This window comes from Homo sapiens, chromosome X, assembly GCF_000001405.40.
Source record: "Homo sapiens chromosome X, GRCh38.p14 Primary Assembly".
In the NCBI taxonomy this organism is placed as follows: Eukaryota; Metazoa; Chordata; class Mammalia; order Primates; family Hominidae; genus Homo; species Homo sapiens.
The window spans coordinates 128,647,042-128,666,674 of record NC_000023.11 but is presented as its reverse complement, the minus strand read 5'-3'; the positions used below and the strand labels follow the sequence as shown (position 1 = coordinate 128,666,674).

At 39.8% G+C, this 19,633-nt stretch overlaps 1 long non-coding RNA gene across 1 annotated transcript in view, besides 1 other annotated feature; it reads left to right on the top strand.

The window, feature by feature from the left end:
• LOC107985698 (uncharacterized) overlaps window positions 1–19,633 on the top strand; it is a 375,495-nt gene that overhangs the window by 31,017 nt on the left and 324,845 nt on the right. The gene's annotated exons all lie outside the window — the stretch shown is intronic.
• Window positions 12,560–13,198: an enhancer, noted in NCBI's record as "NANOG hESC enhancer chrX:127787455-127788093 (GRCh37/hg19 assembly coordinates)". NCBI's record gives its function as "activates a minimal SCP1, AML or CMV promoter by ChIP-STARR-seq in primed H9 embryonic stem cells {active_cell/tissue: H9 hESC(primed)}" and the evidence as "EXISTENCE:reporter gene assay evidence [ECO:0000049][PMID:30033119]".

Genomic DNA, 19,633 nt, shown 5'->3' with positions numbered 1-19,633 from the left:
ATTTCCTGTCTGCACTATTGGTCTCCAGGGCTTAGGCTGCTCTGAAGACATGAACTAAGATTTTGCAGATGTTTTGTAACTCCTAATTACCCCTTTCTTTCCCATGGCCCTCTCAAGGTTGCTAGGTGACCAGGTTATTGCTTTGTCTTTTCTTTACAATCCAAAGGCCAGTCAGCATTATTTCTTACTCTCCTGGTAGGCTCTGGAAAACTCAAAAGTTATGTCACAGGACCATAATATATTGGAGACTGAATACATTAAAGAGATCAGCTTATCTACCCCCTCATTCTGTAGGTGAGATACCCTGCAGTTGGCACACTTCTCCTCATAGGCTCAAGTTTGGTGATGGAACTGAAGCCAAATAATAAATAGTATAGGAAAATGGTTCAAGCTAAATTAATCTCAGGAATATCTTATCTCCTTTAACTCCTTTTTTCTATTAATCACTGTAGTACTTCTCTTTATTTTTGCCATCTCTCCCACAACCAGCCACAGGCCCCATATTCAGTGCCACACTCCTATTGGGATTTTGATCAGAGAGTGGCTTCCTCTTGCTTGCTTCTATTTTCCACAGCCACAATTGGGAGTGTCATAGCCCTTCTCTTTCCCAAAATTAGATCAAACAAAGAGTCCTACTTGTATTTCTCTACAAATTCATACTAGTATCTGCAGAAGTAGAAAGCATAGGCTCTCTCTGAGTCACAAGGGGCCTAAAAGGTTAGACTCTACCAAGGATAGAGAAACACTAGTTTCTATGCATCTCAAATTCACACTGACATGAAAAGACTACTACTCAGTTCTTTATTTTTCCCAACAAGAAATCACCCTCCCTCAGTACTCAGAGTACTTTCTTTGAGTTCTGTTTAGCAGAAATCTCATTATACCTTATATCACTATACCTGTCTTTCTCCTCCATTGGATTGTTGGGTCCTTGAAGGGAGGCCAATTACCTAGTCATCTCTAGGTCTCTAAACCTCCCAATATTGTCTGATACACAGAGGTATCCAAAAGCATTTGTGGAAATTAAATGTAAGACATTATTCAAATGGCCTGTCTATTGCAGACCAGCATAATGCTAGATACAGCAATGACTTCAAAAACAGCATGTCCTTGATTTTGAATTCATTCTTCAATTAAAAAATATATCGAATGCCTGCAATGTTCCAGGCATTAAGGAAGTAGCAGGGTTTTTTTTAAAATCATTTTGATGTGGAGCCATATAACGCATGTAATATAGATGCTACATCGTATTCTGGACCTAGAAAATTTTATTTTGTTGTTGGTTTACCCCCTAGTTTATACTTGCATAGCAATGTCAACTCAAATGATCAAAACTCCAAGTGCAAACCTGTGATTCTTCCCTCTAAGTCTGCCATTTTCTAGAGCCTCCAGCATTCCTTTATAGCCCAGCTCTGATATCTCCCCATATCTTCCACCACACAAGAATAGTAGAGGACTCATCTACCTATCTTGGGTGGAAAACATGGAATGAAAAAGGCTTTCTGGAAAGAGATATCAGTAAGAACAAAGACATAATAGTGTATGGAAAAGGTTCACCAAATTTATTTTGAATTGATATTAATGGTATGAAAACAAATTCCTGAAATCCCTCTACATCTCCAGAGATTTTGATTATGGAAGGGGAAGAGGAAGATTAAAAAAAAAATCATCACAAATCTCTTCTACTCCCCGGGCCAACTTTTAGTTTACCATCTCAGTGCCTTTTTCCATACTTTCCTGATAATAGGCTGTCCATTTCCTTTCCCTCTCCCTAACAAGGGCCAGACGCATTGATGGAAGCGCAGTGCAATTCTCATCTTTTTCCAAAAGCTCTTTATGACTGAAGCTGGAAGAGTGTGCCCTTCTCTTGTTCTGAACTCTGATCTAAAGCACTGACTAGCCCTACCAGGCATCTGGAGATGAGTCTTCTCAGCAACTAATGTTAGACAGTGAGAACTATAGGTTGAGGAAAATCCTATCTTCTTTAAGTTTTGCACACCACATTGCACAGTGTCCTACATATAGTACACACTCAGTAAATGTTTGTTAAATTGATTTGGCTAAGATAGCAGACTGACTTTAACCAATACATTACTGTTGGTTGCAATGGGGAGTTTTGGGTCCTGAGTAGATGTGCAATTATAATGAAAATTCAACATGGTAAAAAGGGAATGAATAAAAGCAGACTCTCTTACAGACTTTCTGGCTTGAATCAGGGCCTGAAGTTTACGATGGATTTAAAACCTTTTTAAGAAAGGCTTTTTGGCAAGGAGAAATCACCCATCTCTGTAATATCAATTTTCCCATTTTTCCCTATTTGAGTTGTTAAAGCCAAAAAGCCATGCCAAATATGTAGGGGTGTGTGTGTTTGTATGTGTGTGTGCACATATGCTTGCCTTTCCATATTGAAAGCACTGCTAAAGAAAGTGCACTCTTTATCTTGCACTGTTAATTTCCTGCACTTTTAACAAAATTCACACCCAGAAGCTCAAATCTTGCATTTTAATATTTTGTTTGATATGAACTTTGAGGGTGAGAGAAGTTGCTTTGTCCTTTCTGAAATTTTATATTTATTCTTCTTTTTTGGGAGGTGTGGATGTTTATTCAAGGAAAAGAAAGGATCATGGAAAAGAAAGGATTCTGGATCAGAGTTTCCAGTTGCTGTGGGAAATACATAGTGTTGCTTTTAATTTTTCACTTATGGCCAGAAACTAGAACACATTTTATATCATTCTGTTTCTGAATCACGATCTCCTTTGAAGCTTAAGAGTTGTTTTTAGAACTAAGGGCATGTTTTATTCACCAATGTCAGAGTTTCTAGACATCTTTGTTTTGGTTCAGGTAAGTGTCTGTGTTCATAAAGAAACCCTTTACCTAACCCTGATGGTATGGGACAAGTGAAACATGTTTCTGCCTTTTTGTAATGCAGAATATGAATTTGGACTCAGAGAAGAGACTTTCCAGCCTCTCAAAAATCCCTACAGAAACAAAATTGCATTGCATGTTGATGTTTTCTATATCCATTAAACTTATGTGATAGGATTTATCCTAAAGACCTCATAATTCTTATTTCACACAAGACTGAAATTGTGAGTTACGTTCTATTTTACAGCGTATGCCCAAAGCCAAAATGATTCAGTTTCCCATTTCAGTGAATCTATAGATGATATTGAACTTGTGTGATGACAGCAGTATTGAACTTGGCACTTTTGGGGGAGAAACATTAGAACAACATCCATACCTTTGTATCTGCCTCAAGCCAAATTCACCCTTAGTCTGGGTTGTCTCCTCAGTAGCAGATTTTGACATTATGATTTGAGTACAGATGGTTTATTTAGGCAGTGATATTAGGATACACATATAGAAGAATAGGAACTTGAGACAGGAAAGGGAAGGAGGTCAATACAGAAGCCATCTAGAGGACTGAGAGAAAACCTCAGGTGAAGAATTGCAGAGGCTTGTAGTAATACACCATTTGTGGGTACCAGATGCATTCTGAGAGGATTTGGGTGGGGAGCTGACCATTTCTGTTAAAAAGTTTTATACCAACTGGTTTGGGAATCAATAGTTAAATGTGTCCAACATTTTAAAAGCAACCTAAGCACCAAATTGTGCTTGCTATTTAGAGAAGATTTTTAGTTCAGGTCTGCTGTCTAGAAACTGTGAGAGAGCATATGGAGCCTCTATTTCCCCATCCGCAAAATGGTGGTGATCATGTTTACCTCATGGGCACTTGCCAAGATTAAATCAGACAGTATTACTGTGCTACTATTTATGCCTTACATATTGAAGATATAAGTGTTATGAAGATAGACTAGAGATCTGTGTCGACCAGGAAGGTTGAGAAATTTTATTAGACAAAGCAAGATTTGACTTGAGCCTGGGAGAATGAGTAAAATCTACATGGCTTAACAGTTATACCTGTCCTCCAGGATGCAGCAGGACTTGGAAACATATTTGATGGCTAGGAAAACACCATATGTACAAAGACTCAGTACTTAGTTATCTCTCAAGGTGAAACAGAGCAAAATATTCGGGGGTATTTTTATTGACCAATGATTTTTTTTTTTTACTGTCATTAAAGTAATTATTGTGGTAGTATTTACTGCTCTTCTTCAGTATCTGGTTTCCCTCTTTTGAGCACATGGAAAGAGGGTGCTTTCATTCTCCTTGACATTAGGCATCACCATGTACCTTTCTTTCTTTTTTTAAAATATATATATATATATATATATATATATATTTATTTATTATACTTTAAGTTCTAGGGTACATGTGCACAACGTGCAAGTCTGTTACATATGTATACATGTGCCATGTTGGTGTGCTGCACCCATTAACTCATCATTTCTGGATGAAGCTGGAAAGCATCATTCTCAGCAAACTATCGTGTACCTTTCTTTAGGCAATGAAATGTAAGCAGATGTGATATGTGTCACTTCAGCATAATTGTATTTAGTTGCTGGCACTTGACTCTCCAACTCTGTTTTCCACTGCTAACAAGATTGTGGAATCAAGTGTTAATATAGAAGTCCAATAATAAGCCATCACATGACAACAGATGCCCTAGAGAGTCACCTGGATCTATTGTGCATTTTGCATGAATGCAATATAAATAAACCATTGTTGTTAGAAGCAACTAAGAGTTGGTGGTTATTTGTTATTGCAGCATTGCCTAGATTATCCTATCATAAACACCAAAGAAATACTGTTTCTGCCCCGACAGAAATCACTTTCAGCCAGAGAACCTGAGTTATTTCTTTCAGCTTTACTGGTTTACACATTTAATCTCTTAATGGCATAAATTGCAAATGGCCAACAAAAGTCATCTTCCTTAATACACTAATTGTATCCTGCATTTAAATAAATACTTTGCTGAGCTGTGTGCATCTGATTCTGAAGTGAGGTAAAAGGATACATTTCTCTGAATTCATTCCTACTATACCTGGCACATAGTAGGCATTCAAGAAATATCTGCTCAACTCAGAAACTATGAAAAAGTCCCAGATTTAAGGAATCTGGCTATACCAGATTAGGTTAATCCTTAGAAGAATTATGTCAACAATAAAATTTGTAACACTGCAGTAATGACATCAGCAAGATTGTGGAAGTCCTAATCCTTGTCCTCCTACAGAAACATCAATAGAATAATGATATTTGGGCCAAAATAACTTAATGAAGACTCTTAAGTCCAGTTAATATGTTGTAGCACCTCAGATGAACACAAAACTGATTAAAAAAAAAACACTTTGAAATGGGAAAGAACAATAATTTCACTTTGTCTATGTCAGTCCCTCCCCTAAGCTGGCATACAACACAGCATTGAAAGAGATCCATTTCATCCATTTCTCCCTTGGGATAAGGAATGAGTGAAGCATGCACCTGACATTTCCACACTTTCATAGCACTGTCTGAAAGATCTACTGTCTCACCTCACTCAGACTGCTGAGGCAACCAGCATAGTAAAAATGCCCGCAGGCAGCCAAGAATAAAGAAAAAAGTCAGGGGTTTTCAGAAGCTTACACAGTATTTCAGGACTGAGAAAAAGTGTACAACTCTAAGAGTTCTCCTTCGCAAGGAAGGAAGAAAACTGGAACTTCATCCAACCTCCTGGCATTGCAGTCCACTCCTCTACGGCAAAGGGACAGATGACTTTCAGCAGCCAGCATGGCACTGCAGAATTGAACAAAAGTACACAATCCTGAGACTTTTTTTTTCAGGGAGAAGGGAGAGAAGTATAACTTGCACCCCGACTATCAGCATTCCAGTAACTCCACTAGGGAAAAGGAGCAGATAGCTCTCAACAGCCTGCGAGGCCTTGTGAGATTGAGAAAAGGCACACAACCCTGAGACTTCTCCTTCAGGAGGAAGGGAGAGAAGTGGAGCTTGCTTTCAGCATCCTGACATTTCAGTGCACTGCCCTAGAGAAATGGGGTGAAAGGTATATCGTGGCCTGCATGGCTGTGTGTGATTGAGAGGAATTTAAAAAATAATAATAAAATAAATAATAAAGCCAAACCTGAGACCTTTACCCCGAGAGGGAAGCAGAGAAATAAAGTGGGCACAACCACAAAAAATGTTTGAGAGGCTCCCAGAATCTTTTGCAGGGCTGATTATTGAAGGTATTTCCATGCTGAAACCAATCCATAAAGACTTCTTTTATGCACTTCTTCAAATGCTCAGACACCATTGCAAAGGTACAAGGAACATGAAGAATCAAAGAACTATCCTACCATAAAAGGAACAAAAGAAATATCCAGTAACTTACCCCAAATAAATGGACACCTATAAATTTCTTGACAAAGAATGCAAAATAATCATCTTAAGTGAGCTAAAAAAAAAAAAAAAAAGACAACTGGGCCAGGCGCGGTGGCTCATGCCTGTAATCCAAGCACTTTGGGAGGCCGAGGCAGGGGAATCACCAGGTCAGGAGATTGAGACCATCCTGGCTAACATGGTGAAACCCCATCTCTACTAAAAATGCAAAAAAATTAGCCAGGCGTGGTGGCACGTGCCTGTAGTCCCAGCTACTCAGGAGGCTGAAGCAGGAGAATGGCGTGAACCTGGGAGGTGGAGCTTGCAGTGAGCCGACATTGCACCACTGCACTCCAGCCTGGGCGAAAGAGTGAGACTCTATCTCAAAAAGGAAAAAAAAAAAAGACAGCTGGACAAAATCGATAAAATGATACACAAATAACATGAAAATATCAAGAAAGAGATAAAAATCATAAAAAGAACCAAAGAGAAATTTTGGATATGAAGAATATGATAAATTGAATAATTCAATAGAACTTCAACAGCAGTCTTGATCAAGCAGAAGAATCAGAAAATTTGAAAACAAGTCATTTGAAATTATCTAGCCAGAGAAGCAAAAAGAAAAAAGAGAATAAAAAAGAGTGAAAAACACCTGTGGGACTAATAGGACCCAATCAAGTGAACCAGCATACACACCAAAGGAATCTCAGAAGGAGAAGAGATAAAGGTTTATAAAGGTTATTTAAAGAAATAGTGGCTGATAACTTCTCAAACCTGGAAGAAAAATGGACATCCAGGTTCATGAAACACAAAGGCCCAAATAAGAAGAATCTAAAGAAGTCCTCACTGAGACATAGTGTAATCAAAATTTCAAAGTCAATTACAAAGAGGTTTGAAAATTGGGCTGGGCACAGTGGCTCACGCCTGTAATCCCAGCACTTTGGGAGGCTGAGGTGGGTGGATCACGAGGTCAGGAGTTCAAGACCAGCCTGTCCAAGATGGTGAAACCCTGTCTCTACTAAAAATACAAAAAAATTAGCTGGGTGTGGTGGCAGGTGCCTGTAATCCCAGCTACTCAGGAGGCTGAGGCAGGAGAATCACTTGAATCTGGGTGGCAGAGGTTGCAGTGAGCCAAGATCACACCATTGCACCCCAGCCTAGGCAACAGAGTGAGACTCTGTCTCAAGAAAACAAAAACCAAACAAAAACAAAAAACCAACAACAAAAAAACAGCAAGAGAAGAAAATGACTCACTATGTACAAGAGAGCTACAGTAAGACTATCAGCAAATTTGTCAGCAGAAACTTGGGAGGCCAGAGGGATAGAAATAATATATTCAAAGTGTTGGGGAAAAAAAAAGAAAAAAAAAAACCTACTAACCTAGAAAACTACACCAATCAAAACTGTCTTCCAAAAATGAAAGAGAAATAAAGACTTTCCCAGACAAACAAAATCTGAGGGAGGCCATCACCACCAGATCTGATTGAGAAGAAATGCTGATGTGAATTCTTCAAGTTGAAACAAAAAGGATGGTAAATAGCAAAATGAGAGCATGTGAAAGTATAAAGCTCACTAGTAAAAGTAAATATATAAACAAGCATAGAGTACTGTAATACTGTAATATTGGTATATAAATAAATGACTTTAATATGACCTATGTTTTCACTGTTTTTCATGTATTTATCACTCCTGTCTCATGAAAGATGACAAAGACCTCTCTTCTTTTTTGACCAAATTGAGTTAGGCTCCTCTGAACCGTCATTCTAACTAGTCCCCTGACATTGGCCAGTTTGGTCTAGTTGAAGCAAGAATGCTAATTAGTAAGTTTAGTGAAAATCCCCCACCATTGCTATTTGATTATATTCCTCATCACCAACTCCTGGTATCTGACCACCTTTGCTTGCCTTCAGCAAAAATCCTGTGAAGTCTGTTTAACAGGATACTTACCTCTAATGTTTCATTTTAGTAATTTTCCATTTGTCCCTCCCCCCAACTCCCGCTGCTCCTTAGCAACAAACTCCTTCATTTTTATTCGGAGTTGAGCTGGATCTCTCTCGTAACTGCAGTTAGCCCCTTTAGAATAAAGTCTGCCTTTTCATCCATTTTAACAAGTGTTTGAATAATTTTTTCTTTAACAGGTGTTAGAACAGGACATACCACCCACTTCCCAATTCCCATGCACCCTGCAGCTACAGTCCCTGAATCACAAGAAACACAACTGAATGACAAGGCTTGAGTATCTCACAAGGCTAGGGAGAGATGGGTGGGAGGGTGTGAGAGCTAAGGATCACCTTGCAGGTAGGCAAGTCTTGAATAGGGTGTTCTCTGCAGCCCACATAACCTACCTCCCTCACAAATGTGGAAGGATTCTGCACCCTTACTCTGGACTGCGTGGAGCTTGTTTTGCTTTTATCTTTCCTTCTCTCTCCATTACTTTGTGGGTTAACTTAGCATCCCCCTCAGGCTAATAGCTGGACTCTCTACTATACCCCCACATTGTCCTCTCCTTCTCTGGTCCTGCTGCTCCTACCCATTCTCTGAATTGTGGATCACCGTGCATCCACATGGGACTCAGAAGCTCAAGGTTTCGGGGCTGGGGGAGGAGCAAAGAAGTGAGAATTTGAATTCACCCCAGCTTACTCTGGACACCGAGGCATCCATGCCTCCCTACTCTGACAACAGACCTGATACCTGAGTTGATTCCCCATGGCCTGTTTCCCCATTTACAAGAGAAAGGGATCCCCCAAGGCCCTTCTAGTATAAGCCTGACAGAGAGCTGTCACTGCCAGTCACAGCCAGAAACTACTGGTTGCAGCTGGTCTCTGCTGGTGTTGGCCAGTTGTGGCCAGTCTCAAATGATTGCAGTTGGTCATGGCTGGTCACTGCCAGTTATGTCCAGTTGCAGCTAGTCTCTACCAGTATTGGCCAGTCTCAGCTGATTACCATCATCTCGGCCTGTTACAACTAGTCATGGCTGGTCTTGGACAATTGTGGCTGACTGTGGCCAGTCTTTGCCTATTACAACCTGTTTCAGCTGTTCTTCACCAGTCATTGCTGGTCTTGGCCTGTTACAACCAATCATGCCTGGTGTGTGTTGGTCTTGGCTGGTTGCAGCTGGTGTCAGCTGGTCTGCACTGGGCACCACTAGTTTTGGCCTATTACAACTGGTCACAGCTGGTCTCTGCTGATCTCAGCCCATTGCAGCCAGTCTTGACTGGTCTCCACTGCTTTTGGCCAATCTTGGCCAGTCTCTGCTGTTCACACTGGCCTTGGCCTGTCACGACAGATCTTTGTTGATTACAGCCACTCACAGTCTATCTCTGCCAATCACTGCCTATTATGGCCGGTCTCTGCCAGTCACAGCCAGTCTTGGTCTGTTATGGCCAGTAATTGCTGGTCTCCACCAGTCACAGCTGGTCACAGTCAGTCTCAGCTCATCATGGCCAATATCCACTGTCTGAGTCAGTTGCCAGTCATGGCTGATCACAGCCAGTCATCCCTGGTTTCAGCCAGTCTTGGCTGGTCACCATACTCTTGGCCATACATTACTGGATATAACTGGTCAACATAGGTCATGACAAATCATCACCAGTCACACTGCTGGGTTCCTTCCAATGATGGAACCTTAAAAGGATGGAACTTCTAACGTTCCAAGGACTAAATGCAGCTGACATGCCCTTTAGTCTATAGTTAAGTGTTTCCAGCAAACAAACACTATCATTTAGACAGTACAGGTGTACAGCATATAATTGAACAGAACACCACAGTATATATTTACCTCCCTCTCAAATGCTTTAACATTTATCATTTATAATTTAAAACAACTTTCAGCAATCTGTACATCTCTAAATATAAGTGAAATGTTTATTTTGACTATTTGAGGCAATTTATTACAGAAAGGCCCCATAGAAATTTTGATCTGAATCATTTATAGGTGGCTGATGCCAAAAAGCCTTTGTAATTCTAAATATAGCACACCAGCTTCATCCAAACACACATAGCCATTCAATTGCTAGTTTAATAAGTGTGGGGAAACTAAAGGCCATTCTAGGTACTTTTCTTTTTAGCCTAGCATGAGGGAATTCTGGAACAACCAGAATTTGGTGTCTGGTAGCAAAACTAGTGAGGAAGACTAAATCAAAAAGTTATCAATTCAAATGTTCAGCTTTTAGTTTTTTAAAGGAATAAACTACGTGACTCTGGTCAAGAGCTTTGCCTTCCTTGGTCCTCTGCTTCTGGGAGGGCTTAGGTGAAGTTAAGGACATCAAAGATAGGCCATTTTTCTCCTGGGCAGCGGCTGGCCAAATATTGGAATAAATCAACCCAGTAATAGTAGTTCTGTTATCACAAACCTAGCCTTAGGCATGGTCATTTGCAGAGCTCTGTCACCTCAAAGTGTGCAAAGTCCCTTTTCCTTTGATAAAGATGGGCCAGGGTAGCTGTTTTAGAGAGGCTTGCTTCACAATTTTTCTCCACTAATATTTCCTGCAGCTGACCATAAGTAGGGACTAAATTCCTCTAAGAGACATGAATTTTATTCTTAGCAATCAGTGTTGTTGCCAAAGTCTAGAGTCCAACTCTGGGGTCCAATGAAGCCTAGATTCTGAGCCCTCAATCACATTTAAGTTTCTGGCCTCAGTTGCCCATTGATTGTAGGCATTTTTTTTTTCCACACTGACTTCTGTGCAAATGAAAAGTCCCCAGGAAATAAAAGGAAAAGTCCTCAGTGGTTGATTATGGAAAGCCACACAACAGCATCAGGAAGTACACAATTTTCTCTTTTTAGTCTACATGCAAATTATACCTAGGTCTTGGAATGTGGTACTTAACTCCCATTTTGTACGTTAATGTGACAGTATCCTTAAGGGTCTCACGACCTGACTTCCAGCTGTGTAGGTCAACATACAATTTGCCAGTGGCTTCCAGATGTGGTTCTTAGGGTACAACACTGGTTTACTCACCGACATTGATACATCTCTGGAAACATTTTCTCGTGTTTATGTAACCCTTTCCCAGACCTTTATCACTCATTTGGGAAGAACAGCTACAGAGTCTCTCTGTGATTTCTCATTATTCAGCCAGGTACATTAAAGCTTGCAACTCAGAGTCAATAGCAGTGTATAGAGTGACAAAAAAAAAATGTAACAGAAACACTCAAATCTCTAACACTGAGCATGTAGTATAATTGCCACCTAGCTCTTGCCATGCTGAATGTCCTTTGGTCCCCAGATGTAGCAAAATCCATGTGTCACCTATTTGAAAAGAAGCACTAGTGCTAACAACTCCACTTGAGTTCCTAGTTTTCCTGAATACTTTTCAAAGGAAAAAGCCACATTCAGGGACAGTGTTGGGACAGTCACATTATGGGAAGAAAGCAGCAAGCCATTTTGCTTCTGGCAGCACACCGTCTTCTTCAACATTTCTAATATATCTGATCTGAGAGAGCTGGTTAAGCTGCCCCATTAAAACAAAGCAATAGCACAGGAAGTTTCTGTCATGCATTCAAAATTGTGTGGGTTTCCATATTTCTGAGCAGATGAGGTGGACCTGGCATAAAATGAGGTTTTGTGATGGCTGGGGGCCTCCCATTCTCCCTGGCATGGTTACCTCAGCCACAGACTCAACTGAAAAGCTGCTTGGGGCTGGTACCGGGGACAGAACTAATTATGATGAATGTTACTTACCCAGCTCTCAATTACAACCTGGATATGTCACCTGGCAAACTCTATTTTATTTCTGGAAAAAGTTGAAACATGAGACAGAAACTTTCTTTAGCTTTTTGGGAAAAATTCCTCATTCATTTCAACTTGACCTGTTACTTCCAATGTTCCACAAACAAGGAATTTAGATTGTAAAAGCCAGCTGGTAATTGAACCTATACACACTCTGACATGGGCTCACAACTTGGAGAGGTGAGATACACAAGGAGGAGAGAAGTTCCCCACTTTCTGAATTTGAGAAATGCCTCCAGCTCATCATTCTCAGCCGTCCTGAGAACTATAAAAGCTAACAAGCAAGTTGCTAACTCCAGACACCCAGCCCTTTTTGAACGGGGGTAATATAGGGTGATATGATCAATTTGCGTCACTTTGCCCAATATTTTCTTCTACCCCAAGAATGGGGTGATATTTTTAACACAACCCGCTTGGCTATTATGATAAACACATTTACATGAAGGAGTTAATGGCTGATAATAACAGTTCATTCCTATTCTCAGGTATTTTTCTACCTTTTTGTTGGGACTTCCATGCCTTAACATAGAAAAGTAAGAAATTTGGAAATTTCTAGTCAGTGCAGTAAGGTCTGGGAATGGCAGTATTCTGGAACAAAGGATTTTTCACTGTCTTCTCTAGCTACTCAAGAGTCAATTATTTAAGACGTTCTCTAGTTACCACGCCTCCTGTGTCACACCACATTCTTTAACCCCCCACTCACCACCCCCTCCGCAAAGCACCGTCAAGTATAAAATGAATGAAAGATTAACCCAGAGTTTAACTCTGCAGGTTGCACTAACCAAAGCCTTCAAATTCAGATTTAAGAAAGAGTTAAACATTTTTATAGCCTGGTGCTTCCTACTCCCAGTTCCTTCCTTGATATTTAAACAGAGACTTGACATTTCTAATTAGGAAGTTTTACATCCAGGCAAGCGGAATTTACCCCCAGCTGGGAAAACACGGCTTAGTAAGAGTTTGACATCAGCCCTCATTGATCTGAAGATTATCTCCCATTTGAGACTGAAGAGCTTCTGGGAGACTGAGGAGGGGAAACAAATGTGGGAAAGTGTGTGGAAATGCATTCTTTGACTTTGGGGTTAGGTGGATAAAGGCTGGCAAGCAGAGACTTGGGGACTGAAATCATTTTCTTTCTTCCCTTTACTGCAGCCTTCCTCTCCCAGCTTTCCTTGTCAATATTTCAGAATCTGAACTTGCTAAAGGAGGGCAAAGAACTTGTTGATCAGATTTTTGCATTGTTTTAACTTCACCAACAAAATGGCTTATTGCTTTGTGGTTTTCAGAGACTTGGTAAGGGATGTTTGATGTTTGAATTAGATTGGGAAAACATTCAGGAAAGCGAATGACCTTGTCTTAGTCCATTTGGGCCACTGTAACAAAATGTCTGAGACTGGGTATCTTACAAAGAACAGAAATTTATTTTTCACAGTTCTGGAGGCTGGGATGCTCATGAGCAAGGTGCTGGCCGGTTTGGTTTCTGGTAAGGGCTTGCTCTCTGCTTCCAAGTTGGTGCCTTGAGAACTGTGTCCTCATATGTTGGATGAGATGGAAGGACAAAAGGGCCTAGCTAGTCCCCTCAAGCCCTTTTATAATCCCGGCTGGGCACGGTAGCTCACGCCTGTAATCCCAGCACTTTGGAAGGCCGAGGCGGGCGGATCACGAGGTCAGGAGATCGAGACCATCCTGGCCAACATGGTGAAACCCCGTCTCTACTAAAAAATAAAATAAAATACAAAAAATTAGCCGGGTGTGGTGGTGGGTGCCTGTAGTCCCAGCTACTCGGGAGGCTGAGGCAGGAGAATGGCTTCAACCCGGGAGGCGGAGCTTATGGTGAGCGGAGATTACCCCATTGTACTCCAGCCTGGGTGGCAGAGCGAGACTCCGTCTCAAAAAAAAAAAAAAAATTGCTAACCTCATTGATGAGGGTAGAGCCTTCATCACTTAATTACCTCCTAGAGGCCCCACTTCTTAATACTTTTATGTTGGTGATTAAATTTTAACATGTGGGTTTTGGGGAATACATTAAGAACATAGCAGATGTAGATTTCCCTTCCAGGACCTAATGTGTTAGCAGTTCTACTAAAATGATTGCCATAAGAAAGCCTATCTCCAAATTGGGAACTATATATAGGCTCTATTCTTTATATTTTACTTTGTTTCTTCCTTTGGTACCTTTTACATACCAGGATTTCTGATTACACTATGTCTTTCCTCTGTGGCTTAGAGACTTCATGCCATGCTGTTTATGTCCATAGTGAGTTCCTTTGGCTTGGCTCACTCCCTTTACCCGTTGCCTGGTATAAAGGTGTAGCTTCTCTGCAGTGGAATGTCCTCTTTACTGAAGAGAGACCTGGTCCTCAAACTCTCTAGCCTAAGCAATCATGGCAATTCAGAAGTACTGTCAATTCTTCTCATGTCAGAACTGTCTGGAGGCCACTCTAGTCTCCCTTGGGACCACCCTGCTATTTTCATGACCCTGCTATTACTGTGGATGGTGACATAGACAGTTAAATTTGTGTTGAGCTCTACTGTACATTTGTTCTTCAATGGGCTATACATCTTTAACTGCTAGAAGTTATAAGGCTTCTCAACTCTCATACCTTAACATTGTCTTGAGACTTGTCAGGGACACCACTCAGGGCTCTGCTGAGCTCTCCCAAGAGAGTTTGACTGAATTGAGACAGGATTTATGAGGGACAGATCTCACTTTGCCTGGGATGAGTTCTTATATGGCCTTAGAAGTTATAGTATTCCTTTGGTTACCTCCTTCTCGGGAATTATCTCAACTTTGATGTAAGAGGTATAACAAGATTACCATTCACAAGTCTCATAAATCCTGAGATACTTGCATAAATTGACTTAATGTCCTACAATTCTAGAAAAATATATAAAACTGATCATGATGAGGACCCAGGATTAAAATGATAAACAGATTAATGGAACAGAGCCTTGCTACAGTAGTGTGCCTTATAAGTAAATTATACTTTCACAGAGATAATATTCTTGCCTTTAAGTTATAGCTAAAAAACTGGCTAAGATAGTGGGGATTTTTGTACAGAAGAGAATAACACTGAGGGAATAAGCTGAGGAAATATTTATAGGTTTTTAAGACCTTAGAAGTTTCTTGAACTTTAAATATGTAGTTAACTGCATTCCCTATACATAGGATTGCTTTAGACCTAAAGAAAAAAAAATGCCTGAGGATAAAACAAATGAGAGAAGTGGTAGAAGAAGATTGAGTGCACCAAGACAGGAACCCAGCAGTTCTTTCTTAGGGTTGTCATGGTCAAGTAGGTATCAGTTAGCACAAACTGCAGGTCAGAATCAGGTGAAAAAGTCAGTGTTGGAATAGGTATGGTAAGTGAAGAGTTGGGCAAGTTGTGAGCTGGAAGTGACCTAGACAAGTACACGGTAATAGAACCATCAGAGATCTAAATAAAGTGGTAGGCTCATACCCTGGGCAGATTGGATAGTAGGTAATCTCCAGGAGTTGGAAAAACAGAGGAAAGCAGATGGTGAAACGTTAGCCAAGCAGTTAGGAGTCAGAAATAAGAGGCAGCCAAACAGTGAGTCAGGTAGAGGAAGACTCAGTTCAAAGCACCAGTGCCATGAGATGGAGAATTGAGTCAGCCTAAGAACTTTCATATGTTTTCTATGAAGACTGAGCCCATTTTCTAAGTCTAGGTGTTGAGGTAGAAATAATCAAAAGCTGCTGACAGGAGTGGAGAGTGAGAAGCTGGAGTGACAGGCAGTTCCTGATAGAGCTGAAAATGGCAGAGAATGTGCTGAGGCAGTGGCAAGTGGAGTTAAAGTAGGATCCATAAAAAGCAGCAGGGTATTGAGAAGTTTGATTTGCAGAGGGCACTTCAGGAATATGGCTATATTGTAAAATATGATGTACATGTGGAAACAGCATTTTGGGTCATGTTTTGAAGGAATTTAGATCACCTTATAATGATAACTATATCTTAACAATTTCCCTTAGTGGCAAACAGCATAAATTGCAATTTGGAAGATCCAAGGGATGTGGATTCAAGTTGGGACTAAGTTATCAGTCTAAGATATGCATGTGTTTGCCCATTTGGGGTGGCAGCCAAACTTGGTACACCACTTTTTTTCTCTCTCTCTGTTGAAGTGAAGATAAGCCAAGCTGGAGGGGAGAGGTGGCAAAATTGTGCAGTCTGCCAAGTTTTCTTGGAATCTTCATCCTTCCCTTTCCGTTCCCTTTGCCACTTGAAGTGTACTTATCTTTCAAGTTCTTAATGCCCTGCTGCTTTTTACCTGCCTCCCTTAATTAACAGAAAATAATTTGATCACTTTACATTCACTACAGTTCTGTGATGGGGATTTTTCTGCCAGGTGTTGTTTGCACTTCATTTCAAATCAATGGCTGCAGAGCATCTACTGCATACAAGGCACTGACTGAGCTAGATGTGGCAGATATAAAGGCTAATGGCTCATAGTCCCATTCTCAAAAAATTACAACTTAATATTTAAATGAAACATATGAAAGACAAACTCTAGGATAACTCAGAAACAAAACTGTAAAAAATGCCATAAATAAAATCCAGACAAAATATAATAGAAGTATCATATATGAGAAGTGGACTGTTCTTAGAAGATTTCTTAGAAGTAGGTTGTTCTTACATTGAGACTTGAAAGTTGATTACTCAGCAAATGGGGATGTTGGAGAAGGGCATTCTGGGGAGAAAAAAAGCAAAGGAAAGATACACTAAAATCAAAGTGCAGGACATGTTTCAAGAACAGTGAGAGTTTCATGTGGCTAGAACGTAGAGTATGTGAAAAGTGTACTATGAGGGATGATACTAAGAAACTTGGATGATTAGGAATAATGGTTTAAATTTTATTCCTTTTGGAACAGAAATCCATTGATAATTTTTGAAGAGAGGAGCTTTAATTTAAGAAGGCACATCTAAGAATGTTGGGTTGAAGTAAGAGAAGCTGAAGGATGAGAAACAGTTAAGAAATTACCGTAATTATTTAGGTCATATGTGATGATGCTCTAAACCATTCTAATAGCAGAGAAAGAGAATGGCTGCAACAGGTAAAAGATAGGGAGAAGAAAATCTACAGAATTTTATCAACTTGTTAGAGGTGATAGAAGGGAGGAGGCCTTAAAGATGATATGATGTGAATTCTGGTCAACTGGGACAATGTTAGCTCATAAATCAAAGTCAAAATCACTGGAGCAATTTGTTAGATGAGACAGGTGATGAAATCAGGCTGCAACATATTGAGCTCAATTGTTATTTGAATATTCAGCTAGATGTAAGCAACAGGCAGCTGGAAATGCATGCAGTGTGATCCTCAGGAGGAAAGTCAGTGAAGAACATGGATTTGGGAGATACTGTCATAGGTGTGACCAATTACTCTATGGGATTAGTGGCATTGTGGGGAGTGGATGTCTTGTATGAAAAGACTGAGCACATTTCCTTGTGAAACTCTTATTTATATTCAGGAAATATGAGGAGGGAGAAGAGCTCATAAAAGATATCAAGCAAGAGTAATCAAAAAGATTTAATAATCAGATAAGTGCATACTCACTAGTCCATATGTTCCTTGAGGTTAGAAGCTTTTCTGTATTCATTATTTTATCTCAGCATAGTAATTGCCCAAGAAGTATTTGTGAAATAAGTGGATGAATGTCACAGAAGCCAATAGGGAAGACTTTACTTGCCACAGGGATAAATGCTGTAAAATGTGGTCTGAAGTTTAATAGAATTACACCTGGGAATGGCGCTGGAAGTGATGATAAAGAAGACATTCATTGTTCATATAATAACTTATTTTCCTCTGGGTAGATAGCCAGTAGTGGGATTGCTGAATCAAATGGTAGTTCCACTTTTAGTTCTTTAAGAAATCTCCATACTGCTTTCCATAGTGGTTGTACTAGTATACATTCCCGCCAGCAGTGCAAGTGTTCCCTTTTCACCACATCCATGCATGTTTATAGAAGCACAATTCACAATTGCAAAAATATGGAGCCAGCGTAAATGCCCATCAACCAACGAGTGCATAAAGAAAATGTGGGATATATGTACCATGGAATACTACTCAGCCATAAAAAGAAACCTATAATGGCATTCGCAGCAATATGAATGGAGTTGAGACCATTCTTCTAAGTAAAGTAACTCAGGAATGGAAAACCAAACATTTTATATTCTCATTTATAAGTGGGAGCTAAGCTATGAGGACACAAAGGCGTAAGAATGATATAATGGACTTTGGGTACTCGAGGGGAAAGATGAGAGGGGGTGAGTACAGTGTACATTGCTCAGATGATGGGTGCACCAAAATCTCAGAAATCACCAAGAAAGAACTTTTCCATGAGCATGGGATGTGTTTCCATTTGTGTCGTCTATGATTTCTTCCAGCAGTGTTTTGTAGTTTTCCTTGCAGAGGTCTTTGACATCCTTGGATAGGTATATTCCTAAGTATTTTATCTTTTTTACAGCTATTGCAAAAGTGGTTGAGTTCTTGATTTGATTCTCATCTTGGTCACTGTTGGTGTATAGCAGTGCTACTGATTTGTGTACATTAATTTTGTATCCTGAAACTTTACTGAATTCACTTATCAGTTCTAGGAGCTTTTTGGATGAGTCTTTAGTGTTTTCTAGATATACAGTCATATCATCAGCAAACAGCAACAGGTTGACTTCCTCTTTACCAATTTGGATGCCCTTTATTTCCTTCTCTTTTCTGATTGCTCTGGCTAGGACTTCCAGTACTATGTTGAATAGGAGCAATGGGCATGGCATTCTTATTGTGTTCCAGTTCTCAGGGGGAATGCTTTCAAATTTTCCCCGTTCAGTATAATGTTGGCTGTGAGTCTGTCATAGATGGCTTTTATTATCTTGAGGTATGTCCCTTCTATGCAGATTTTGCTGAGGTTTTCAATCATAAAGGGATGCTGGAGTTTGTCCAATGCCTTTTCTGTGTTTATTGAGATGATCATGTGATTTTTGTTTTTAATTCTGTTTATGTGGTGTATCATATTTATTTACTTGCATATGTTAAACCATCCCTGCCTCCCTGGTATGATACCTACTTGATCATAGTGGATTATCTTTTTGATATGCTGTTTGTTTTGGTTAGCTAGTAATTTGTTTAGGAATTTTATATCTATGCTCATCAGTGATATTGGTCTATAGTTCTCTTTTTTTTGTTATGTCCTCTCCTAGTTTTGGTATTTGGATGATACTGGCTTCATAGAATTATTTAGGGAAGATTACCTCATTCTCTATCTTTTGGAATAGTGTCAACTGGATTGGTATAAGTTCTTTGAATGTCTGATAGGATTCAGCTGTGAATCCACCTGGCCCTGGACTTTTTTTTTTTTGGCAATTTTTAAAATTACCATTTCAATCTTGCTACTTGTCACTGGTCTGTTCATAGTTCCTATTTCTTCCTGGTTTAATACAGGAAAGTTGTATATTTCCAGGAATTTATCCATCTCCTCTAGATTTTCTAGTTTGTACACATAAAGATGTTCATAGTAGCCTGGAATGATCTTTTCTATGTATGTGGTATCAGTTGTAATATCTCCTATTTAATTTCTAATGAGCTTATTTGGATCTTCTCTCTTCTTGGTTAACCTTGCTAATGGTCCATATATTTTGTTTATC